We start from the raw sequence: 26,687 nt of genomic DNA, 5'->3' as shown, positions 1-26,687 counted from the left end.
TCCTCTCAAGCACTAGTTTCTCTTCACAAAAATTGATTATATATTCAGTATGAAATAATACCTCATTAATTTCCTTAAAGTAGAAATAATGGTAACAACATTCTTCAATCACAGTATAACAAAACTGGAATTAACCATGAGAAAAAAATGGCCCTTTCATCTGTGAGGAAAAATCTCTGTTATACAAATGTAGGGGAAAAGATAAAACAGAAATAAAATTTGTAAATAAAAATAGTAAAATTTCCAAAAAATAAAAATAACCAACCAAGGAGATAAAATAAAACACAAAACAAGTCCAAATTTCAAAATTAGTAAGAGAAAAATAAAGCAAGTAAATACAAGGTTTTAAGAAAAAAGTGTAAGTACAGGATTAGTGAAAGGGAAAACAGGAAAAAACATAATTAATAAATCAATAGACTGATTTTTTCAGGAAAAAAAACAGAAGACAAACATTAGCTAATTTAGTAAAGAAAGAAAATGAAAAAGTACAAATTTACAAATCGAATAGGAAAATAACCACTGAAACAAAAAAAATTAGAAAAATCAAGAAAGGTTACTTTGTATAAGTCCATACAAATATATGTGAAAGCCTAGATGAAGGAAAAATAACCAGTAAAAATAAAAATAATCAAATTTTACTAGAAGAGAGATAGAATTTTTAAATCAAGCTATTTCCATAAAGAAATTAAGAAGATTTTAAAAAGGAACTCTACTTGAAATAGCACCATATTTAGTTCCTTTCATAGAGGAGTTCTTACCGCATTGTAGAGACTAGATAATCATAATTATAACGCTACATACATTTTTCCATGCCAAAAAGGAAATCTTCTTTCTAATTCTTTTAATGAATCATACATAATTTTAATATATACGTTGAAAATAATAACACTAAGAACATAGATGTAAAATTATAAATAAAACATTAGCGAGTAAAATTCTGTACCACATTCAAAACATAATAAATACACTATAAACCAGTAACATTTATTCTGAGAATGCAAGAATAGTTCAATATGAGTATGCGCATTTATGTACCCCAATCCTCAAGCTGAGAACATGTTTAATGGGTAAATATTTATTTGCATTCCCAGTGGTCCCATTGGTTCCTGAAGAGGACTGGCTGCATAGGTATGCATCCAGTGCTGTCACACAGCTATTCATGCTTAAAAGGCACCCTCACTTAATGCTTTTGAAGCCATCTTGAAACTCTTAATCATTTTCTAACAAGGAATTATTGTTAAATAATTTATTGCACATTAGACATAAACAGATCTTGGCTCTGTCACTAATTATCCATTTATCTTTGGGTAAGTCACTTAACCTCTCTGTGTCATGATGTTGTGCCACACTATGGTGGAGATGAAGATGGTATGTCACAATACCAGGCAAATAGTGCCATATTAAGTAATAGATACATGATAATAATTATCATGCTGTTAAGACTGTAGTGGCAATCGTAGTTATTGTTGTGGTTATTTTTTCCCTAGGTGTAGTAGTATTGGCCAAAAAGAGGGAGTAGGCAACTCTGATTTGAGTGTCAGCGATTGCTTCGTAATGAAATAAATCCTGTAGCTGAGTCTTGACAGCTGAGCCCAATCAGCCATGAAGAAGAAAGGCATTCAAGATAAAGGAAACAGCAAATACAAAGGCACCGAGGGAGGCTTACAATCAGAGGGGAATCTATGGGAGGAAGCATGGTAGCCAGGAGCACGGGCTTAGATGGATTTAGGTTAGAATCTCACCTTCACCAGCTGCATGACCTTGAAATTACCTTTGCTCTCTGTGCTTTAGTTTTTACTCATCTTTAAATAGAGATGATAATATATGGTACCTACCTCATAGAGTTATTTTGAGAATGAAATGAGTTTACATACGTCAAGTACAGAGAAAAGCACCTAGCAAATTAGAAATGCCAAATATGATATATCATTATCCACGAAAATCTGAGTCTTGCAAAAGATTTAAAAGAATTATTCAAGGACCAGTTCACACTCGGATTAGTCCCCCACGCTGAAGTCCCTGAATGTGATCATACAGGCAAAGCAAGACAACTAAAGTGTTTATGCACAATTATGACATGATCTGACCTGCCTTGTAGAAAACTGCTATGGCCGCATTTAGAGACCTGAAGAATGGTAGAAGAAAAGTTGACTTCTAGTTGCTGTTGCTTGCCCTGCTGGCGCACGTGACAAAAACAATTTTAGTGTAAGCAGTAGTCAACATTGAGCAGAAAATTCTCAGCTCAAGAAAGTGCCTTCTGGCCACAGCATCTGTCCCGAGAGGCACCCTGATGGAGGCTCAGCCATAATTCACATCAAAAACACTGCGTACACCATGCACCCAAGAAAGAGTCAAACATGTTCTTGATTGCCAGCCCTTGTACTATCTTTTCCAAATCAACTTCAGGCTCCTAGAGGCAGAGTTAATCTCCTGCTGAGAGCTTTAACACTTCCAGTCCCGTGATATCCAGTGTGGTGTCCTCACCATTTGCTAAAGTTGCCAGAGGATCCTTGGATTCAGGCCTGTCAGACTCATTGTCACTCACAGCAGATGTAATGACATCCAATCAACAATGTTTATTGAGCACCCACTGTGCCTTAGAGCACAGAATTGAAGCTACAAAAAACCAGCACAGCAAAGCAAGCAATGGGAGAAGGTAGTGATCCTTGTGTCCCGTCTGACATCCCTGCCAATAGCATGAGTTCTTCCAGGTCATTAAGGATTATTCGATACAACTAAATATGTGAATCACAGGCTACAGCTCTGCCAATTTCTAAGGTGTCTGACAGTTAGGAATTCGCCAGGCATTGGATAATTCTAAGAGAGAATACTGAATTCTCTTTGTGAGTCAAAGTGTCTGAGAATTCATTATCCATAATCAATTATCTCTGGATTTCAATTTGATTTATGTATTTATTGGAGCCTATTTTCATTAGCAACAACTATTTAAAATAGTGAGAAAGAAATTTTTGAGTATTATATTACATTTAAAGACTTTCCATAGAATCAATGCTAAATTGTTGTTTTCCTTCAGCAATTTGAGAGGTTTTGTTTTGTGAAGATAAACCATTTCTAACTATTACAGAGGGGAAAAAAACATGATGCATACAATAAGACTGTATTTTACAAGTTTATTTCTCTCTAATTTATCCTGGCACCTTCATTCCATTTTTTAAGATACTCTTGGGGGAAAAAAATCATGAACATTTAAGACCAAACTTCTTAGTCATGAATAGAAATATAATGATCATTTTTTGATTTTTTTCCTGAGTATACAAAAACCATTTTACGTGATACCATTATCTCACTGTCAATCATAAGTAACGTGGGTGGTTACCTTCTGCATTTCAAGGTTTTTTTTTTTTCTTTCTGCAAAGTGTAATTCTCCACAGCCATTCCATAATTATATTTACAAAAATAGACGAAGGACCTTGCTACAGATCTCAAATTCGTCCAAAAATTGAGATTGAACGGGATGTCAGATTGTTCAGCTCTTCTGAAAGAAAAACATTCTGGAGATCCAGTTTGTGTGACAACAACATGCATTTAACAAAACAAAAAATAATCAATTCCACGCCAGTGACGAGACAGGAGGTGATTCAGCTAGCTGGCTGGCAGTAAAGGTTGTTTAGCAGGTTTCACATCCTAATTGGGTGTCCAGCTTGCTAAGTAGCAGCTGGTCTTTAATTAGTTGAAAAATTATTACCACTAAGAGTTGCTTTAAAAAGAAAAAGAACAAAATAATTAAAATGTTAAAATCCATATGGTGGGTGCTCATCCTCACTTGTCAATAGCTGTTTTCCTTCTTTATCACTAATAAGTTTAAAAATATTCCTAAGCCACTTACTTCTTAAAGTGTAACTCATGTAAATGTAAAATCCCCAAAGACTCCCAGAATGGCATTGCAAAATAATAGCTGCTCATCATTTAATAATTCTTTTTGACTATGAATTATCTCCAACACCCACCCCCTGCCAAAGTTGAATATGTGATTAGTAAGGGAATCTTAGAACAATTCTCATAGTTAAAGGGACTAGTACATTTTCTGACCTGATTCGTTATAAACTATAATGACACTGGAGAAAATATCAGTACCTTACAGATGACAGGAAGATGTCTTTTGCACACAGATTCCTTTCAAGGACTAGCAGAAAGTTAATTTTGCCTGTAATAACAGAAAACCCACATTTGGTATAATATTGTAATTATAATTCTATCCTATTTAAATATAAAGTTTTGTAAAAATATAATATATAGTATTTAGAGATAAATTAGCCTACATATTGAATAGGTTGTGAAATTCTGCATTTATTATACACATATTACAATCTTCCTACCTCCCATATTGACAAATTAGTTTTCTTAGACCAGCTGCTTTTAAAAAATATTTTACTTTTAAATATTTGTTTATTTTAGAGTTGAGTGGTAGTACAGTAGAAAGTGTATGAATTTGGTGCTAGTACAACTGGATTCAAGTTTTAGCTCACTCTTTTATGAACCTAATGTACTGTAAAACATCTTTGGTTGTATTATTCCTTCTACAATATAAGAATAATAAAATCTAACTTACAAGATTATTGTCAGCTGAACAAAGTACCTAGCATTGTTTGTGGAATGTGTCAATGACTTATGCATTCCAATATTTTCTTTTCTTACACTTATTTCAGTAGACATGTTATGCATTTCAGTTTTCTAGAAAAATAAATATTCGGTATACCATATGCTCTTATGATACAGTATCAGTGACATATGCTTTATACAGGTATGCAATGTCATTTTGAATAAACATATATATTCATAAATCGTTGTGACTTGATCAACTTTTGGAAGGTGAAGATCATCTGATTTCCATGCTATTCACCCTATAGTTGCTAGAGATAATGAGACTGATTTGGATGGAAACTCCGATATGAAGTTTACCTTTCATCCTTCTGAAATTTCTAACTCACATGAAGAAAAGAGTTACTATGCAGGTATCCAAGTACAAGTTTTAAGGTTCACCCAACCCTATGATCCCATGTGGTTGCTTGTAGGGAAATATGCCTGTCTCTCCTAACAGAATCACAAACGTCATTTTTTTTTTTTATTGATTAAATTGGAAATCATCATTCTCAGTAAACTATCGCAAGAACAAAAAACAAACGTCATTTTTTAAAATCTTTAAATTCTTCTTCAAACCACTTCTGTTCTTTATTTTAATGTGCACTCTTCAAGTTTATTACAGGACAATAAAATGAATAATTTCCAATTAAGTTTCGCATCAGCATTCATGCCCACTTTCCCGCTTGCTTTTCAGCACTGTCTAAGGTCTCTGCCCATGAAATCTCTCCATTATTATGTCCTGCATGTTGTCGAGTTCACTGCTGAAATTCAATAAATATCAAATTATCATATTCATTCAATGGCAATTTGGAAAAACACTAACATGTGGTACAGTAAGATGCAAATCAGGCAGTATAGATTAATAGCAAACATTTGGTTGACATCTCTAATCTCACATGGATTGAAACTAAAACTTTATTGCACTTCTCTGTGGTCTGCCATACTGCCAGCTGCCTTTCCTACGGATGTTCCCAACATATGAAAGGGAGTCTGAGCATTAACCCCCTGTTGCATACCAACAAGATGAAGATGATCATGCAATAATTTGCTCCCTTTTCAACTGAAGACCTAACTGTTGATATGACATGATGGAAAACCTCATTGTTATACATTGTTACAAATGTCTGTAATTACTTCTGCTATACAAGCAAATGATTCATCTCGTCCATTCCATCACACTCAAAGGGGACCCAAGTGACATTTTGTTTTCCTCTGTCTTTGGTTTTCCCCAACTCATAGCAAGTGCCGAACTCTTTGGCTGAATCACAGGCAGCCTAGTTAGGACATTTAAAGTTTTATCATATCTTGTCTGTGGGGTGATAGTGACTGCTTTTGAGTGGGTTAAGGACAAGATATAAACAATAATGGAGAATGCCTTGGTAGCTATGTCCTGAATTGACTGATGACAAGGAGAGACTGGCAACACTGCATGGGACTTTATGATAAACACAAATCCAAAAAATTCAGAGAAAGGATGCCTATCTCAGAGATTTTCATATAGTTTCTTGGATTTTCTTCTCCATATATTATTCTCTGATGTTACCTGAAGACACCAATAGTATAGGGAACTCACAGGTTCTAAGTTTTCTCTTTTTACAACCTTGAAATGTAATACAATATGCCAAATCTCTGTTATCCTTGTTCACTGATCAAAATGAAATTTTGGAGGGGTTATCCGTTCCTCCTTCTGAACCCTTTAGTCTGAAGATAGTATTTTTTCTTAAACTTAAACTCTTACTTTTCCTATCACCACTTCTCTATCATGCACTCTGGAATGTGACTCTTCTCTGAGGATAATGCTTTCTGTGACTTTCTTGAGAAAAGACTCTTCTAGAAACTGTTTTGTGATGTGTAGTCAATGGCCTTGTAACCTCTATGTTTAATCTAAATGATTACTTCTTCACCTTCATGTAAATGTAATTGCTTTTTTGCATCAGCCTTAATACCTCTCCAGGCTGCCATCCTGTGAGTGCCTGCTCACTCCCCGCTCGCTGAAAGCATAAGTATCTGGCTTCCAGTCTTTCTTTTCCTGCCAAGTCCTGCCGTTATGTTGGGTAAGATTTACCCAACATCTTCATCTCTTAGTTTTTAATCTCTTTATGTCAAATTATCTTTTCTTCCACTTCATAACAGCCACCTACATGTATGGCTGTGATCCTTAAACATAAGTGTAGCTGGAATTTCCCCACCTCTTAAATTAACAAAATAATTGTAATCCCAATTGCAGAGAGCAGTTTAGTCTCCTTCCTAATCTACCTCTCCACTATAGTCATGCATCACATAATTATGTTTCAGTCAATGATGGACTGCATATACTACGATGGTCCCATGAGACCATATTACATATTTTTGCTGAACCATTTCTATGTTTACGTAGGTTTAGATACACAAACACTTACGGTTGTGCTACTGTTGCCTACACTATTCAGTGCAGTACCATGCTGTGAAGGTGTGTGGCCTGGGAGAAATAGGCTATACTATATAGCCTAGGTGTAGTGATCTACAACATCTAGGTTTGTTTAAATGTACTCTGATGTTCACACAACAAAACTGTATAATGACTCATTTCTCAAAGTGTATCTCCATCATTAGATGATGTATCATTAGATATTTATGACATCAACTCATAAACTCATTGGCATGCTCACCAATGGTTCTCTTATTTTTCTCTATCTACTTGAAATCACCAATTTTAGTTTCTTGTTCAATGTATCACATATCCTATATTAGGCTGTTCTTGCATTGCTATTAAAAAATACCTGAGACTCGACAATTTTTAAGAAAATAGGTTGAATTGGCTTATGGTTCTGCAGCCTATACAGGAAGCCTAGCGGCATCCACTTCTTGGGAGCCCTCTGGAAGCTTACAATCATGGCAGAAGGTGAATTGGACCTTTCATGTCATATGGTAAAATCAGGAGTGAAGGAGGCAGAGGTGCCACACAATTTTCAATGACCAGATCTTGTGATAACTCATTTGCTATTGTGATAACAGTACCAAGATGATGGTACCAAACCATTCATGAGAAATCTGCTCCCGTGATTCAATCACCTCCCACCAGGCCCCACCTCCAACAGAGGGGATTACAATTGAACATGAGATTTGAATGGGGGACGAAGATCCAAATCATATTATATCCTATGATTTTTTTAAAAAATTATGCTTTATTTTTAGTACACTTAACACTCTTGCCATGAACCTTCTATTTCACTTGATTGAAAAACAAAAAACACTGTTGACTTTATTTGACTGCTTGCAACTCATATGCACCTGGATGATGAAATCAGTACCAGTATAACTTTATGTACATTTATCTCCTTTCCGAATAGCTGCATAAGCACAATTCACAGGTACCTCTAACCTATCATTTCCAAGGATACGTATCATCTTTCCTTCTTAACTGTTTCTTCTCATTTTTCTGATCTAATTGAATCACATGTACATTCACCCAGTTTTTTAAACATCGGAAACTCTCCCTTTCCTTCTTGCAATCCATCTAATTAGTAATTAAGTTTTGTATATACCATCTTGTAAAAAGTTCTTGAATCATTCACTATTCCAAACTTTGTTAGCACTACCAAGGTCTAGGTCACCATTATATCTAACTTGAATGTCACAGCCACTTATTGATCTTCATGCCTTAGATATCATCTCCATCCAGGCATGCAACCAAAGGTGAACTTTCAAAAATCCAATTTCCATCACCCACTCTGCAGTCTAACCAGCAGTCTCGACTTATCCACTGTTTCACTTTCTGTGGTTTCAGTTTTCTGCAGTCAACCATGGCCTGAAAATATTTCATGGAATGATGCAGAAATAAACAAATCATAACTTTTAAATTGTGCATCATTCTGAGTAGGGTGATGAAATCTCATGCCATCCACTCCATCCCTCCCATCCCAGCACCCATTCTGCTTCTCAACGTGAATTATTCCCTTACCCAGTGTTTCTGTGCTACATGTGCTAACCTGCCCATTAGTTGCTTAGTAGCCATCTCAGTTATCAGCTTGATTTACTTTTTTTAGGTGGGGGCGGGGGCCTTGTTTTGCTCTTTTCATCCAGGATGGAGTGCAATGGCACAATCTCAGCTTACTGCAACCTCTGCCTCCCGAGTTCAAGCAATTCTCCTGCCTCAGCCTCCTGAGTAGCTGGGATTACAGCCATCCACCAACACACCTGGCTAATTTTTGTATTTTTAATAGAGGCGGGGTTTCACCATGTTGACCAGGCTGGTTTTGAACTCCTGACAGCAGCTGATCTGCCCGCCTTGGCCTCCCAAATTGCTGGGCTTACAGGCATGAGCTGCCGCACCCTGTCTGATTGTCGTGGTATTATAATAACAGTGTTTGTGTTTAAGCCACCCTTATTTTACCTAGCAATGGCCTTCAAATACAAGAATAGTGATGCTGGCATATAGATATTGTTATTCATCTCTTACTATGCCTAAACTATAAATTCAACTCTGTTATGGGTATGTATTTACAGGGAAAAAAACATAGTATATATAGGGTTCAGCACTATCTGAGGTTTCAGACATCCACTGAGGGTCTTGGAAGATAGCTCTCTTGCATAAGGAGAGACTACTCTCTCCTACTAAGTTTGTCATGGGACTTAAGGAGAAACTATAACCTGTTCCTATATCTTATAACACCCAGTGACACCTTTTCCCTCCCTCTTTATAACCTATTTCTCACCACTCCTACCTTCACACTCTATAATTCAGTTCTTCATATACTATCTCATCTCATACCTTTTGTATTGGCCCTTTGATCTACCTTTGACTGTCTTCTTTCTTCTTTTCACCTAACACCTACACGTCATTCTTGTTGTGCAGGACCCAGGAAGCCTTTCCCTGGGTCCACCCTTATGTATATACATATACATACACACAAAGACACATCTACAGTATAAGATGAGGAGAATTGTATCCGATATTGTTCCAGGTCAATCTTCCATCATCGCGAGTATCACAATTCCTAAAATTGTTTGTAAGTTTTCTATTGTCTTTGTTAAACCAAAAGCTCTGTGAGATTTGAACTATGCCTGCTTTGTTTGCCATGTAACTTTGAGCTCCTAGTACATTGAAAAAACTGAGCCTTAATACATTAAAAGGGTTTATTTCAACGGAATAATAATGTGTGATATCCAACCATTAACAGTATATGATACATCAGCAAAATGCCGCTGTGCAGGAACAGCATCCCTTGAGTGATTGTGGTCTTCCTTGTAACTTCACTACTTATTCTACTACTGAACCAAGCATAATTAAAGATGAAAACAAGTGAACAGTATTATGATAAAGGTAACTTTCTTTTATGACAATTTTTAAAAGATGTATTTTAAATATATATGCAAAGTATATTAAATCTTTCTATATTAGTTAGGACATAAATTCAACAGCTGTTATCAGAAATCGCCAAATGGTTTCCTAAAAGACAGAATTTATTTCTCTTACCCCAAATTCCAAGCTGCTCTCCTCTGCCTATATGCCATTTTTCTTTAGCTTGGCCCTCCCTAGGATGTTGACCTCATCCACATTGTTCAAAAAGATTCAACCCTATCTACCTTCAAGACAACAGGAAGGTGGAAAGAGAAAAACAGAAATCCTACCAATTATTTTCCAGAGTACATGCTAAAAGTTGCTCATCTCACTTCTGTTTATATGTGAATGACCAGGACTTAGTCACTTAGCCACATTTAGCTGCACAGGAGATTGATAAATATGGCCTTTATTTTAGGAAGTATATGCTCAGCTAATGTTCTATTTAGATGGAAGGTGGGAAAAGTTGACGATGGGAGAAAATAATCAGTCTTACTCATATTTGCATGAATATAAGTGTTCACACAATTTATTTGCTAAATACCTCAGATCAGATCATTATGTGGTGGTGCTCTCATTTATAATGTAGTTCTGGAGGTATGTATTAACTTCATGATTTTTAGGCAGTTCTAATAAACATACATTTTACATTTCAGCTGAGTTTTTTTTTTTTTTTTTGAGATATTGAGTGAGTTGTCTCTCATATTCTGTGAAGTATGGTGGTTGCAACAGTTCTACATTGCTGTTGGTCAAGTGCAGAGCCAGGTGCTTTGTAACAAATACCAAATATCGGAGCAAGTGGGTTGGGTTGACAATTTCTCATAGAATATTGAGAACCCTAACGAACACCCAATTCAGCGTAGACCATTCCAACTCTTGAAACTCATGACCTCAGTCATGGTGCTCCCCAATAACTTTTGGGTCTTCTCTAACATAGGGACAAATAAGTGGTGAAGGCCCTGACATGACACACTTCATGGCCACAATAATTTAGACTTAAAACATTTTAAACTTTGTATACTTTAAGTCACACAGTGAAAAACTAAATAATTTTATTATAAACTTGAAATTGTATACATTTCATATGTCATAAAAGTACAGTAAATACATTCAACACAATTTATGTACAATCAAAATGGACTTTATCATAGATACTATAATAGAAGAATTCAAATAATCATACATGATTTTTGTTATTATTTCTTCCTCTACCCCCAAATATCTTATTATTTCCAGTCACTGTCATCTCTTGCCTCTTCACCAGTCTTCCTGCTTCCACCCTTTCTTCTTGTCACTCTGTTTCACTGCTCAGAAATCCCCTCAGCATAATAGCCAAAGTATACACACAAAGGTCTCTACAAAGTGTCTCGCAAGGTTTTGGTATGAACCCTTACCACTCTCTGACATCTTGCTACATTCTTCCTTCTCTCACTACACTGCAGTCATGAGATTTACTGTCCCAGGGGTATAGGAAACACATTTCTCCCCAAGACCATTGCACATTCTGTTTCTTCTGCCTGGAAGATTCCACAGAAAGCTTTTTTTTTTTTTTTTTTTTTTTACCACTTTCTTAGGTCTTTGCTTAAATGTTGGTGCATAAAGTGCACAGTCTCTGATCACCATTTTTTGTAAAAGAGTAACTCCTCCCATCTCCCTTTCTCTCTTATTCTCCTTATCCTGGTGTGTTTTTCTCTGTTTCTCATCATGACCTGACATACAGAATGGTTTAATTGTTTTCTGTCTCTTCCCCACAGTATGTAAGATGCATGAAGGAAAGAACTTAGTTTTTTGTTCAGTGCTGTCTCCTTAATGCCAAGAAAAGTGATTGGCATACAGGAGGCTCTCTACATTTATTAAATACATAAGTGAATGAGTCTATCTCATTTAAAATGTGTTAACATTAATTATTTAATAAGAAATAAATATCCATTTTTCATTTTTATCTTGACATCAAATTGAATATATATATATTTGAATATGAGTTTCATGAAAATTATGTGTATATATATATATTTAAGTTTTCAACTGTCTCTTTATGTGCTGGGCTTCAGGATTTTCAGGCTTGTGCAATTTCAAATAGCATATGGTAAAACAAATGAGCACGGATTTGACACAATCTGACCTTTAAATGACAATGAGAGTGAAAGGGCAGAATGAATGTGGCCTTGTCAGACTTACGAGAATAGAAAATTTCTAGCAGCCCCAGGAAGGTCAAAAAAAGTGTACCATAAATGGAATGAGGCTCCACCTGAAAGTTTTTCATTGAATAAGGGTGACAGACAGAGGTCTCTCAAAGAATATACAATGAGGAGCATCCAAGTCATTCAAATTGAAGAATGGCCAAGAGGTTGTGTGATTTATCTCACGTTTTCAAGCGAGGCATGTTCATTATGGAGAAATAATATATTTTTAACGTAACGCATGATCATGGTATAAAAATTAAAAGAGTATCAAAAAGTATAAAGTGCAAAGTCTTTTTTACCTGATGTACCCTTTAACTCTCTGATTCCCTTCCTCAAAGATACCCATTGGTACTAATTAGTTTTATAAATTTCTGAAGATATTCTATGCAAACACAATCTGGATTATATTTCACTTAAAATTCTCTTAACTCTGAAAGATTTCAAGCACGCAAGAGCTATAAAGGATAATATAACAGACATCAATGTACATATCAAATAGATTTTATGAATAATAACATTTGTGCAAAATGCTTTAGATATATATTAAGAAGCAACACGTTAAACACAGTGGAAATCTCTACTGCTTTCATACTCTTCTATTCACAGAGGTAAACATTATCCTGAAGCTTATGTGCATTTTTCCCAGTATATTTTTTCATATTCAAATGTACATATACACCCATAATAATATATAGTATTATATGGCTTTTTAAGTTTAAATAAGTCCTATTATACTATACATATTCTTTTGTAACTTGTTTGTTCATTAGAGATTTTAATTTCCAAAATTAATACTTATGGACATATGCCTGCAGTTCATTCATTTCAACTAACTACTATATAGTTTTTGGCTTATGCATGTACTCTAATGTGTGTATCTACTTGGCAGACTTTAAATTGATTTCTCGTTTTTCCATTTACAGACAATGCTGTGATTTTCTCCTTAAACTTGCTTTCCTTTACACATATGCAATGTTTTTTTAGAGTTCTTCCATGGAAGCGGAATTGCTGGTTTGGAGGATATGTGCATATTTATTCCTGAGGTATATTGCCAAACGCTTCTTGGGATTTATCAAACATTTTACAACACTATCAATAATCTCTAAATATTTTCACATATTCTTGCCATTACTTGGATAGAGATTGAAAACATGGCCAGAGCATATTGTAGCTTCTCACTTCAAGAGGTAGAATCTATTTTCCATCTATTGAATTTGGCTTGCTTTGCTAATAACAAACTTTGACCAGTAGAATGTGGTGGAAATCACATTCTGTGAGTTCCATAGCCTATTCCATGAATTACCTTGCAGATTTTGTCTTCTCCTATTTGGAACCCATATACCATATGTGAAGAATCCCAGCCTACCTTGCTGGAGAAAGATATAACTTGTGAAGAAGAAAATGGATGTCACAGCCAACTGCCAGACATCTGAATAAGGTCACCTTGGATCACTGAGCCCCAGTCAAACCATCAGATAAACACAACTGCCTGAATGATCCCAAAGAAGAACAGAACTTCTTATCTGCGCATAGCCCAAATTGCTCATCCTCAGTACTGTGAGCAAGTGATAGTTGTTTAAAGCACTGAGTTTAGGGATGCTTGTTATGCAACATAAAATTACTCAATAAACTTGATGTTGTTAGACATTTAACTTTGCTATACTGTTCAGGATCTTACTACCTATGAACAGGTTATTCATCATTTATGTAAGCATTTTGAATATCTTTTATATCAGAGGAATGATTTCAGATATAAATCAATAGAATGAAATAAATATAGTATCCAAATAATAGTTTCTTAAATAAGAGGGAATAACTTCTCTTACATAACAAGAAATCTGGAAGTAAGCTGTTTTAAACATTGATTTGTGACTCAGTAACATCATGTCTTTATGTTAACATCTCTGTGTTTCCCCTAACACTTTTTTCATACTCAAAACTTTAACAGGTGCACATACCACATCTGCATACATTAAAAGCCTGGAGTGGCATGAAACAGAGCAATTTTCCTAGTGCACTATGGCCTATATGTTATAATAGGAAAACCTTTTTATTTCAAAGAAATCTTTCACACAGGGAGAGAGATGAGTCTCTCTTCCTCTTCTTACAAAGATACTAATTCCATCATGGGGCCCCATGCACATGACCTGATGTAAACTTAATTATTCCTAAGGGCTCTGCCTCCAAGTATCATCACTTTGGGAAGTTGGGGCTTAGGACTTCAACATATGAATTATGGGGAAACACAAACATTCAGTGTATAACAGATAGAGAATTAGGTATTTTATTTAAATAACATTTGTTACCTGGTTCTTGCTGACGTATAGAAAAGCTATTGAATTTCTGATTTTGGTATTATAATAGCAATTTGCTGAATTTGTTTATTTGCTTTAATAATTTATAGAATTGTATGAATTTTATACAGATAGTGATGTAAATTGTAATTAAGGACAACTGTGGCTCTTCTTTTCATTACCCCAATTTCTTTTCCTTGTTTTGTGGCACTATGAATAAAATATTGACTAGAAGAAGTGGTGGCAGTGGTTGCTACTTACATTTTCTTTCTTTCTTTCTTTCTTTCTTTCTTTCTTTCTTTCTTTCTTTCTTTCTTTCTTTCTCTCTTTCTTTCTTTCCTTCCTTCTCTTCTTTCTTTCTTTCTTTCTTTCTTTCTTTCTTTCTTTCTTTCTTTCTTTCTTTCTTTCTTTCTTTCTTTCTTTCGATAGGGTCTCACTTTGTCACCTAGGCTTGAGTGTAGTTGTACAATGTCAGCTCACTGCAGCTTCAACCTCCCTCGGCTCAAGATCCTTCCACCTCAGTCCCCCAAGTAGCTGGCACTACAGGCACTCACCACCATGCTCAGCTCATTTTTTGTAGTTTTGGTGGAGATGGGGTTTCACCATGTTGCCCAGGCTGGCTTTGAACTCCTGGGCTCAAGCGATCTGCCTGCCTCAGCCTCCCAAAGGATTACAGGCGTGAGCCACCGTGCTCAGCCAGTTGCTACTTAATTTTATTCAACAGGTTGAGTTCCTACTGTTCTTGATGAGAAATATGTTCTAACTTATTTATTTAATGTTTTTGATGTAACTGCTGTCTCTTTCACTCATTAAGAGTCTCTGTCTTTGATGATTCAGTGTGGATTCTGTCATATATATGTTTTTCCTATAATTACCTGTTATCAGAATTGGTGTTGTCCACCAATTATTGCCTTAAAATAATTGTATTATATTAAATCTCTGGGTAGGTTATTATTCTCTAATGTATGTTAACTCTCCTTCATATGAGGTCATTTCCTGCTATGATCTGTCATAGTTTCCTTAAATTCCACTTGCTCCCATCAGCAAATATACTAACCTATCTTGATCTAAATCCATATACGCTACTTTCTTTCCTGTAATGTAAAATCTCACGTGCCCAAACACCCTGTATCCATAATTCTCTCTTTTCTTTCCATGCTCATGGTCTCTTCCTTTCTACTCTGTTATTTCAAGTGTCATTTAGGCATGGTAAAAATGTTGAAACCACATCATCACTCAACTAATTCCTCACCCTTTTTAGTAGATTCTTCTAGGGAGAGACATTTATACTAGCAGCAACTATTTATTATCCTCCTATTCTTTTGTGAGCTTATTCCAGAAAGGGTATTACGTCATTTAGTTAAACGGCAGTCATGTACACAGAGCTATAGAAGCCACCGTATAAAATTCTAAATTTTGATAAGTTCCTTGGTCTTTTTCTGGTCTTCCTACCTTTTTTCACTGGTCATAGACAAGGGCCACACTTTTTAAAGGAGAATGTTTTGTCTTCCTTAAAACCTAATGTTGATAATGCAACAAGAATAAACTTCATGGATAATAAAACTTCATTAGGCTACAAATATATTCAATATGTAACATACTCTACCTTTGTTAAGTCTTTACAAGAACAGTCTATATTTTGTTGCTTCAAAAGGCATTATATTTACAAAACTTTAGACTATAATTTTATTTGTATATATTTTAATGCATGTTACCTACATAAAGTTTGGTAAAGCAGGCAAGACAATGCCACCTTCTCATGATGATTTTACAGAGCTTGATACCATGAGTTCTTGAAAAATGTATGTCTTCCACAGGAAAGAGCCGAGGTCAGAATGAGAAACACATCCCCACAGGATTTCTGACCATCAGTAACATGAATTAGCTGGTGTGCACTCTGCTCTGTAACCCTGGAATCTCCTTTCTACTCGGAGGGAACCAGATGTACAGCATGAAGAAGTATGCCCTTTGGAAATGTAAATGAATACAGTTAAGAGGCTACACCGCCCTTTAAAGGAGTTCTTCTGATCTCTTAGGAGCTTTACATTTTGAAGAACATGGATGGATGAGAAACTTGATGTGGATTGTAAGTGATTTTGCTGTAGATTTTATAAAGTTATACAAATGTGCAGGACAAGCTATGCAGAAAATATGTCTGTCACTTTTACATTGAACTATACAGACCCACTTACATACATATTGATAAAGCAAAAGCACATTCAACACTAAGTAAAGTTGAAAAATAATCAGTATTATAAAGATATCAAAGAAGACAGGTGGCTGGTTGGAGTCTTTAAGAAAACATGTTAATCAAGGAAGAAATGGCATGTTTTCTACCAAAGCAAGTGTAATTTATTGACCTAAGGTCCAAGTTGCACCTGACAAGAATAAAATGTTTTAAAGTCATGAGACTAACACTTTTTGCTGAAGCAAAATTTTACATGTAGAGAGTTTCCAAATGAAAACCATAACATTTTCTAAAGAGCCTAGAAATCACAACTGACATATTATGAAGAATCGTAGACATTTTAATTTACACATTCTAAAAGTTTCAAATTAATAGTTCATTGGAAATTATTTAATAATGACATACCATGAAAGAAATGTTGAGGCCATTTCCTTTATGATCATTCCACAATGCTTTAGATATTTTAGAATAATTGATAAATCTAACACATCCCTGCTTTAAATTGTGAAATAATAATGCATTATTATCATTAATAATTTTGAAAGTATTTTCACCCCCATTAACTTGATAAGGAACTATTCTAAAGCTGATATCCATATCTTTTTCCCTGTGAAGACAGCAATATAGCTCTCTTGTGTTTCACTTTCCCTAATTCCACTAATATGCTGTGTTTACAACCTTTTAAAACTGTGATATATACTTCATATTCAAAAGGGGCATGTAATTATATGTATGATTTAAAGAATAATGATAATATAAATGCCTATATGTAGAATTATCAATATAAGGAGGAGAATGAGGGTGCATTTGTAGGTGTTATGTGTTCTTCTCAAGCCATTGCATTCCCTTCCTGCCAGAAGTGACTAGTCATCACAGTCACTATCTCTAAACCATCAGTGTGCTCTGTGGGTGTTTCTAAGATTCTCTGGAAAAAGAGTTTGGTGATAAAATAAGGCTGGGAAACTGAAGATGTGAGCTAGACTTTCAGGCAGACTTTGTCTACTGTAGAATTTACAGGGCCTTAATATACTAATCAGAATTTAAATCTACATGCAATTTTATTTTTAAAACTCTACTTTATTTTATGAAACATATTTTACAAAATATTGTCCTAAGTGTTTTATCAAACATTTGTATAATTCATCATGAATTAAAGGTCAGACAAATACAGACGTTCCCTTATAAGACTTGAAAAACGTGTAATGGTGGTTGAGGTTTTACAGTAGATGAGCGAAATGATGCTTCAGTAACAAAACTAAAAATCTCAGTAGAATAAAAGAGTAGGGTTATTTCTCACTCACAAGACAAGTCCATCGTAGGTTTGGTAGGGGTTCTTTTCTGAGCAGTCTTCACTTTGAGCCACTCTTTCTTGGACATTGCTGGATCAAGACACTTTTGATCAGACACAAAACAAAAGACACAAGACACAATTGACCTTAAAACCTCAACTACCATTAAATGTTCTTCAAGTCTTATAAGGAAATGTCTGTATTTGTCTGACCTTTAGTTCATTATGAATTATACAAAAGTTTGATAAAATACTTGGGCAATATTTTGTAAAACATGTTTGACACAAGGCACCAAGATATATAACACAATTCATTTGGCAGAACTAGTCAAACTGCTCCGCCCACAAAAGCCGGCCAGGAAATGCTATCTTACCATATATCCCGCAAGTCAGAGAGCTGGAAATGTTTGGGGAAGAGGATTAATGATTATTCTTAGAGGCGAGGGGGAAGGCCATTAATCTATGTAAGGGGTTGAATTTGTGGGAAAGGCAAGAGGATTCATTAGGTCATTTGGTTTGAAAAAAGACTTAGGTCCCTCATGAATCTGATGAGGGAGCAGCAGGATGGCAACTGGGTGAGAGAATTGTTGTCTTTGATAAGCACAAATGTATCCAGTGCCTAAGAGGCTGGTGCTTGTATGTGAATCAGTGTCATTTCACATATGGAGGTAAAACTTGGACTGGGAAATGAGGCACTTGACACATCCATAAAATGTACAAATAGGCAGTAGATGGCTCCTTACTGGTCATAGGGGGTTGGTCAGGGTGACTCTGGAAAGCATGCTAATTCATAGTAGGACTAGACCGTTGTATAGAATTAGCAAGCTCATTTCTTTCTAGCCTTTCTTTATTTCTTTTCAATGATTTCAAATAGTATATATATGTAATATGTGATGTATATTTATTTATATTTTTTCTAAAAATGCTCACCTATATCAGTTATATATCATATACAATATATAAAATACAATATATAGCATGTTATATAACATATAATATTTAACACATGACAACATATAATTATATTTATTTATTTATAATGTTTTCTCTGAAAATACTCCCTGATTTCAGCTGTGCCTTTCACCAAAGGAGGAAATTACTGTTTGCCTTTGAATCAAAGGATGAAAAGAACTTTTGAGTACAGTATACAACTGAGGACCTATGTGATGTTAGCAACAAAAAAATTAACAGAAGGGAAAAACAAATCTCAAGGAAAAAGAGAAATTTAGTATGAAATAACCTTGAACATTTAGAAATTTTCCACTGATGATTCCACCCCCCTACCCCCCGCCAAAAAAAACAAGGAGCTTCTGAATTTTACTTCAACAAGAGAGAGGGACTTTCCTATATAGAATTGCCTTCTCCATCTGGGAAGAGTTCCTTTTTCATCCCCTGGCTTCTATCAGAACTGCATTGATGTTCTCAGTGAAATGAGAAGGTACCAACTGTTAAGATATTCCTTTAGAAAGTTTTGATGCTTTAAATAGACTTAATGGACTCTGTAACTTCCTTTTTGTCAACTTTTATTTTATAATCAGGGGATAAATATGCAGATCTGATACAAAGGTATATTGTGTGATGTTGAGGTTTGGAGTGAATCTGTCACCCAGGTAGTGAACATAGTATCCAATCCTTACCCTCTCCCTTTATCCCCCCTCTTGTATTGCCCAGTGTCTGTTGTCCCAATTTTTATGACCAGACCATGTATACCCAATGTTTATCTCCCACATGTAATAACAAGCATGATTTGGTTATCTGTTTCTGTGTTAGTTTGCCTATATGTTGGTGCAAAAGACATGAAATCATTCTTTTTTATCGCTGCATAGTATTCCATGGTGCATATGTACCACATTTTAAAAATACAATCTACTGTTCATGGACACCTGGGTAGATTCTATGTATTTGTTATTGTGAATAATGCTGTGATGAACATATTGTTCTTTTTGGTAGAACAATTTATTTTCCTTTGAGTATATACTCAGTAATGAGATTGCTGAGTCAAATGGTAGTTCAATTCATAGGGCTTGGAGAAATCTCCAAACTGCTCTCCACAGTGACTGAACTAGTTTACATTCTCAGCAGCAGTGTATGTGTTTCTTTTTTTCCAGAGCCTCACCAACATATGTTATTTCTTGACTTTTTAACAAAAGCCATTCTTGTTGGTTTGAGATGGTATCTCACTGTGGTATTGATTTGTATTTCTCTGATGATTAATGACAATTAATATTTTTTCATATGCTTGTTGGTTGTATGTATGTTTTCTTTTGAGAAGTGTCTGCTCTTGTCCTTTGCCCAATTTTGAATAAGGTTATTTGTATTTTACTTGTTGATTTGTTAAAGTTTCTTATAGATTCTGGATAATAGACCTTTGTTGGGTGCATAGTTTGCAAATATTTTCTCTCATTCTTTAGGTTATCTGTTTATTCCATTGATAGTTTCTCTTGCTATGCAGAAACTCTTTAATTACATCCTGTCATTAGCCAATTTTTGTTTTTGTTGTATAAATTTTTGTTTGAGGATTTGTCCATAAATTTTCTGCCGAGGCTGATACTGAGAAGGGTGCTTCCTAGGGTTTCTTCTAGGATTTTTATAGTTTGAGGTTTTACATTTAAGTCTTTAATCTATCTTAGGTTAATTTTTTGTGTATGGTGGTATGTAGGAATCCAGTGTAATACTTCTGCATATAGACATGCTAGCTATCCCAGGAGCATTTACTGAATAAGAAGTCATTTCCCCATTGCTTATTTTTGTCAAGTTTGTTGAAAATCAGATGGTTATAGGTATGTGGCTGTATTTCTGGGTTCTCTATTCTTTTCTTTTGGTCTATATGTGTGTTTTTGTACTAGTACCATGCTGTTTTGATTAGTGTAACCATATAGTATAGGCTGAAGTCAGGTAATGTGATGCCTCCAGATTTATTTTTTGCTTAGGATTACTTTGGCTATTTGGGCTCTTTTTGATTCCATACAAATTTTAGAATAGATTTTTTCTAATTTGTGAAAAAATGACATTAGTAATTTGATAGAAATAGCATTAAATCTGTAAATTGTTTTGGGCAGTACGGGTATTTTAGTGATGTTGATTCTTCCAACCCATAAGCTTGGGTCATTTTTCAATTTATTTGTGTTGTCTTTTATTACTTTCTTCAGTGTTTTGTAATTCTGCATGTAGAGATCCTTTACCTCTTTGGTTATCTGTATTTCTAGGCATTTCATTCTCTCTGTGGCAATTATGAAAGAGATTGCCTTCTTGATTTGGCTCTCAACTTGAAAGTTATTGGAATATAGAACTGCTACTGATTTTTGTACACTGATTTTGCATCCAGGAACTTTGATCTGCCACTTTACTCTAACCTGGCTGACAGAGCAAGACTGTCTCTGAAAAACAAAACAAAACAAAAAAGAAATGAAAGCATAGTATATTTATGATTAATAACATTTAATATCATTGAGATTCAATGTCAGTTGAAATTACCCATTTATGGGCGTATTGAAATATCTATGTAGATAGCCACTGAATTAGCCTAGGGCTCCTGTAACAAACATCTTCAAATTTGATGGCTTAAAAAGTGCTGAAACTGATTCTCTCATACTTCGCGGGGTAAGAAGTCCTAATTAAAGGTTCAGCAAGTCTTTGCTTTCTCCAAAGAATATAGGAAATATCTTTGCTTGCCTCTTCCAATTTCTGGTAGCTTCAAACAATTTTTGGCTTGAGATGACATAGCTTCAATCTCTGCCTCCATTTTACATGAACTTTCTTCTTCCTTCTCTCTCTGTCGTCTCTGTTTCATTTGTTTTTCTCATCCTTCTTATCAATGGATGTCTTCTTTGTTTTTAAGGAAACTTGTGTTTTGATTAAAGGCCCACCTGGATAATTTAGTATAATTTCAAGTTACTTTACTTAATTGCATCTACAAAGACTCTTCCCAAATAAAGTCATATTCACAGGTTCTAGGTGGAATCTAGAATATATTTCGGGGGCCACAATTCAACCCTTTACAAGTATCAAGCTAAATACATTTTACTTTGACATGGTTCCATCATGTTTAGATATTTTATTCAAATTGATACAGCTATAGTGCTAATTTTAGTTTTATGTAACTCTCTCTCTTTTTTTCCTTCTTTAGAGAGAAGGACTCCTTCTGTCACCCAGGCTGAGGTGCAATGGCCTGATCACAGTTCACTGCAGCCTTGAATTCTTAGACTCAAGCTACTCATCCACCTCAGCCTCCCAAGTAGCTGGGACTACAGGCTCACACCACCTCACCTGGGTACTTTCTCTCTTTTAAAAATTTTATTTGTTATCTTTTTCAATTTTAATGAAAATTTTATACATATATATGTAACCCATCAGTTAATATACTTTGCTTGTATATGTTATATAAAAGGTCACTTCCTCTTGAATTTGCAAAATAGTTGTTTGCTTAGCACGAATGCCAACAATATTTTTTTAAATTTAAAGATAGCCTACTCTCATATAGAGCAGATTTTTTTAATATATAAAAATAATTCCAAATTTTATTTTATTTTCTGTTGCAAAGGCAAATAATCTTGGAAGTCTCTTTTAAAAGTTAAATCAATGCCATAATATACTCAAATTGTCACAAAGAACAGTCTATTGTAACACCCTGTGATTTACTGATAGCAATGAAGAGTGTGGACTTTGGGGCCAGGAATCCTTGCTTCAATTATTAGTTCTACTACACACTAACCACACGATCTTAGGCTAATGTCTTAACCTCATTTCCTATCTGCGTAATTGCATAAGAATGCTATCAACTCATGAGTCAGTGCTCCTCAAGTGTTTATGACAGCGATAATGTATAATACAATAAGAACTCACCAAACGTCTAAGACACTATTTCTTAAAAATCAAGACAGTGAAAACTTCTTCCTTAGCTGTCCGTTTTTCTGCTACAGTAGGTTCAAAATTATTTTTCAGGTAGCCCTACCCCTGTATAAGCTATTCATCTGACCTCTCTCAGAGGAGCTGGAATAGTCCTCTCTTCAGAACATGTCCATGTTGTGGTCCTTGGATCCCCTAACCCTTCTCCCTTCTCATCTGTCAGTTAAGGCTTTGCCTTTAAATGCTAACATAGAGCTACATTTTAAGAGCCCATAATTCAATATGGAAACAAACTCCCTGGCACACTCTATTTCTTGAAAGATTATCAAAGAGAATCAACAATTGGAAGGAAGTGTTGCCGAGAAGCTAGTTGCATCAAATGGTTTCTCTACAGGAACTTTTGTAGAAATTGCACTTGCTTGTAATGCCACTGGTCTACCCTGAGAGACTTTTTAAGAAAAAAGAGATCCTAAACCTTTGAAGATATTCACTCCATTACACAGCATCTTCTTTTTGAGAACCCTTAGGACACAACTTTTTTTCTGATACTAATATTAGAAATACTGTCACTTTACTGTATTTGGTGTTTGTCTTAAGGGCTATGTGAAAGACATGATTTACTAGATTTTCTTCCCTGAGTTTTCTGTTAAACAGCTTAGAGGCAAAATTGTGGTCAGTTTATGGCAAATGTATAGAATTGTATAATATAAAATTTTGACTAGCCTCATTTGTGGGTGGATTTTCATGTTTTATCTTGTATTTGCTTACTTTTCTTACCTTACTCAATTTATTCTATTTAGGTGTATTGTACATTTCTTATAAAGCCACCTGAATTTGCTTTTGGAACAATGTGACTTAGTATTTAATAACTATGTCACTTATAGTGAAAATTATAAGCCTCTTCATAATTTTATAAAGTACCATGGTATGTAACTAATAAAAAAGTAATAATTAAAATATAAATGTTCTGTTGTTGAGACGAAGTTTAAGGTATATTGGGAAACAATGCAATTCAATTTTATAGGCTTTATCATACAACCAGTGAAATACACTTTTTGATTACATGTTAGTTTGGATTCTAAGAATTATTCATACAAAACATTTTAAACTGCTTGGAAATACAATAAAGGAAGAAAACTTAATGATATTTGGATTTTCTTTTCACAAAATTTTATTTCTTCAGAACATACAAATTGTTGCTGTACAGCTAAAGATTTTTCTATACATTTCTTAGAAATAAAATTATAAATGTCAAATGGCAATAATATACAAGGATAAGGTAAATCAAACATAATTTATTAGGGAAATTGATTTTTTATCAAGTGTTTCTCTTCAATTAAATTTCACTGTGCCAAATTTAGGGTTAATATCACATGAAATATAATTTGTATGTTAATAGGAATATTTTAAGAAAAAATATGAGAGTATAGAGTTATGTGTCTTTTCTTATCCATTTTGACAAAATGCTAAACTGAGAAACTCAAGGAAATATGCTTCCTCAGAACCATAATTATATAAAGTGACTATCATAGTCTTCCTCCATAAACTGTGGATAAGTATTAATTTTAAAAGATGACATGACAAGTGAATCATAAGCAAAAAAGGTAGTTCCTTGTGTTGACATACATTTGTCAAAAGAAATTATCTTTCTTTTAGATCGTGCTCTTTGAGTACTCAGAAATGACAAGCATTTGTTACATATGTTCAGCTGACAATGAGTCAGTGTCACATGAAAGACAAGTAAAAAAATTGGATTAATTTTGTTATAAAGAGATTTACATTTTGCTATTTCTAACATGTCTTTTGGAGATTGATGAATAAGAAATGAGATAAGAGAGCCCTTCAGAAACTACTATTGCTGAATATGGTAGAAAAATTGCTCTTGCTAGAAGATGTATCAAGTTTTTGTCAGGTAAAGCTAGGGAAAATTCTCTTGTGTTATCAACTAATCTTACCAGAGAGGGAATATTATGCAAGATGAATGACATTGCTTTCTCCCTCTCTCAGAAGTCAGGCGGTTGTGCACTATGCCAATCTAACAAGATTTCTGCACCTTCTTTTTATTTATTTACCAGCTTAGCTGTGAGTCTAAAATATTATCTGACATTTCTCATCCACTATGCTTCTTCTGGAAGTTTTTCACCATTTTAGATTAATTATTAAATATTTAATGACAACAATAAAACAATCTATTGAAGTTATTTGCTTTGCTAATTTTTTTTCATTTTTTTCCTGATTGAAATATCTAACAGTGAGTAGAAGATAACATGTGAATTCAAGGATTATGTATTCTGTTACTTTACCTACTCAAAATCCAAAGCACACAACATGCTTTCTCATAGAAGAGACCTTGTCTATGTCATTCATTGCCCAGGATTGTTGGTGCTCACTAAATGTGTGTTTAATGAATAAATATAATTCCTAATTCTTTGAAGTACATACTCTTCTGTTAACCATAATCTTATTTTTTCTTCAATAGCCTTTATTGTTAGTGTTTACAATAGCACAAAATCACAAAACTCTAATTCTGTTTAATATTAATATGCTATGGATTTCATTAGTGTTTTGCTGAGCACAACACTTTCAATAAAAATCAACTTGGTGTGAAAACTCATTCCAAGAAAAACATTTAAGAAGCCTAGACTTAAGTATACCAGAGTAAACAAACATTAGAAAGAAAATGCCCATTGCAAACAGCCTATTTTTCAATCCCCATAGGAGGCATTTAGTGAAGTATTTCAGTGTCTTGACATAACGTTTGAGAACATTTGGAACATTTGGAAGATCTTTGGATACTTTTTCTTTTTTTTTTTTTTTTTTTTTTGAGACGGAGTCTCACTCTGTCGCCCAGGCTGGAGTGCACTGGTGCAATCTAGGCTCACCGCCCCCCAGGTTCAAGCGATTCTCCCGCCTCTGCGTCCCAAGTAGCTGGGATTACAGGTGCCCACTACCTTACCTGGCTAATTTTTTGTAGTTTTAGTAGAGACAGTGTTTCACTTGTTGGCCAGGCTGGTCTCAAACTCCTGACCTCCGTTGATCCGCCCACTTCAGCCTCCGGAAGTGCTGGGATTACAAGCATGAGCCACCGCGCCCGACGGATCTTTGCATACTTGTAATAGCTGATCCGATAGTGGTACCTCAGGGGGGAAGAAAAGATGCATGCTTCAAGCACCTTTGACTGTTAAAACAGATGAAAATGATTACAGTAAGTCATGTCATTCATTACCTAAAACCCTAAATGGCATCTTTTTTTCCACATAGAATAGAATTCATGTTCCTTATCCTGGCCTGCAAAGCTTTCTGCACAGTCACCTGCCCTCAGTTCGCCTTCCACTTAGTCCTCATTGTAAAGCTCCCTCCTTTAGACAAACTCTGTTTGCTACAATGGGCCTCTTTGTAGTCCTCTAACGTTCTGAGTTCCTTTGAAGGAGCTGTTCTCCCTGCCTGTAATAACCTGCCTTAAGATTCTTTACCTAGTTTGCTACTTTTGATATTCAATTTTCAGTTTGAATGTTACTTTTTCAGCAAATCGCTTTTTGATCGTTCAATCTAAAGTAGACTTTCAATCCCTTTCCATTACATCAGCCTGTTGAATTTTTTTTTTTTTTGTCAATCCACATATGAACTACCTGATATATACATTCCTGTTTATTGCTTATCTCCTACTATTACAACATATGCTTTCTCATAGCAGAGACCTTGTCTGTCATTCATTGCCCAGCATATTGCTGGTGCTCACTAAATATATGTTTAATGAATAACTATAATCCCTAAATTATAAAAAGATAGCTATCTTGATATTATATAATTTGTGTAATAGGATCTCACTGTGTCTCTTTTAAATGATCAGTTGGGTTTATGGATAGAATTGTTGAAATCTCGGCCGGGCGCAGTGGCTCACGCCTGTAATCCCAGCACTTTGGGAGGCCGAGGCGGGTGGATCATGAGGTCAGGAGATCGAGACCAT

General features: G+C 34.9%; 1 protein-coding gene across 9 annotated transcripts in view; it reads left to right on the top strand.

Moving 5' to 3' along the window:
* ARAP2 (ArfGAP with RhoGAP domain, ankyrin repeat and PH domain 2) overlaps nucleotides 1-23,644 on the top strand; it is a 239,381-nt gene extending 215,737 nt beyond the window's left edge. For 4 of the 9 annotated variants that reach the window (XR_007096351.1, XR_007096352.1, XR_001741112.3 and 1 more), the window contains 4 exons: nucleotides 9,762-9,904; nucleotides 13,416-13,662; nucleotides 16,217-16,485; nucleotides 22,002-23,644. The gene's annotated coding sequence lies outside the window, so the exon portion shown is untranslated. Of the gene's footprint in view, nucleotides 1-9,761; nucleotides 9,905-13,089; nucleotides 13,149-13,415; nucleotides 13,663-16,216; nucleotides 16,486-22,001 lie in introns of all 9 variants that reach the window. The other 5 variants (XR_007096353.1, XR_007096350.1, NR_146893.2 and 2 more) reach the window with 3 other exon arrangements.
* The last annotated feature ends 3,043 nt before the right edge of the window (nucleotides 23,645-26,687 follow it).

The sequence above is a fragment of the Homo sapiens genome, chromosome 4 (genome assembly GCF_000001405.40).
Source record: "Homo sapiens chromosome 4, GRCh38.p14 Primary Assembly".
Classification (NCBI taxonomy): Eukaryota; Metazoa; Chordata; class Mammalia; order Primates; family Hominidae; genus Homo; species Homo sapiens.
The sequence above is the reverse complement of the archived record's forward strand: the minus strand, read 5'-3'. Positions and strand labels throughout refer to the sequence as shown.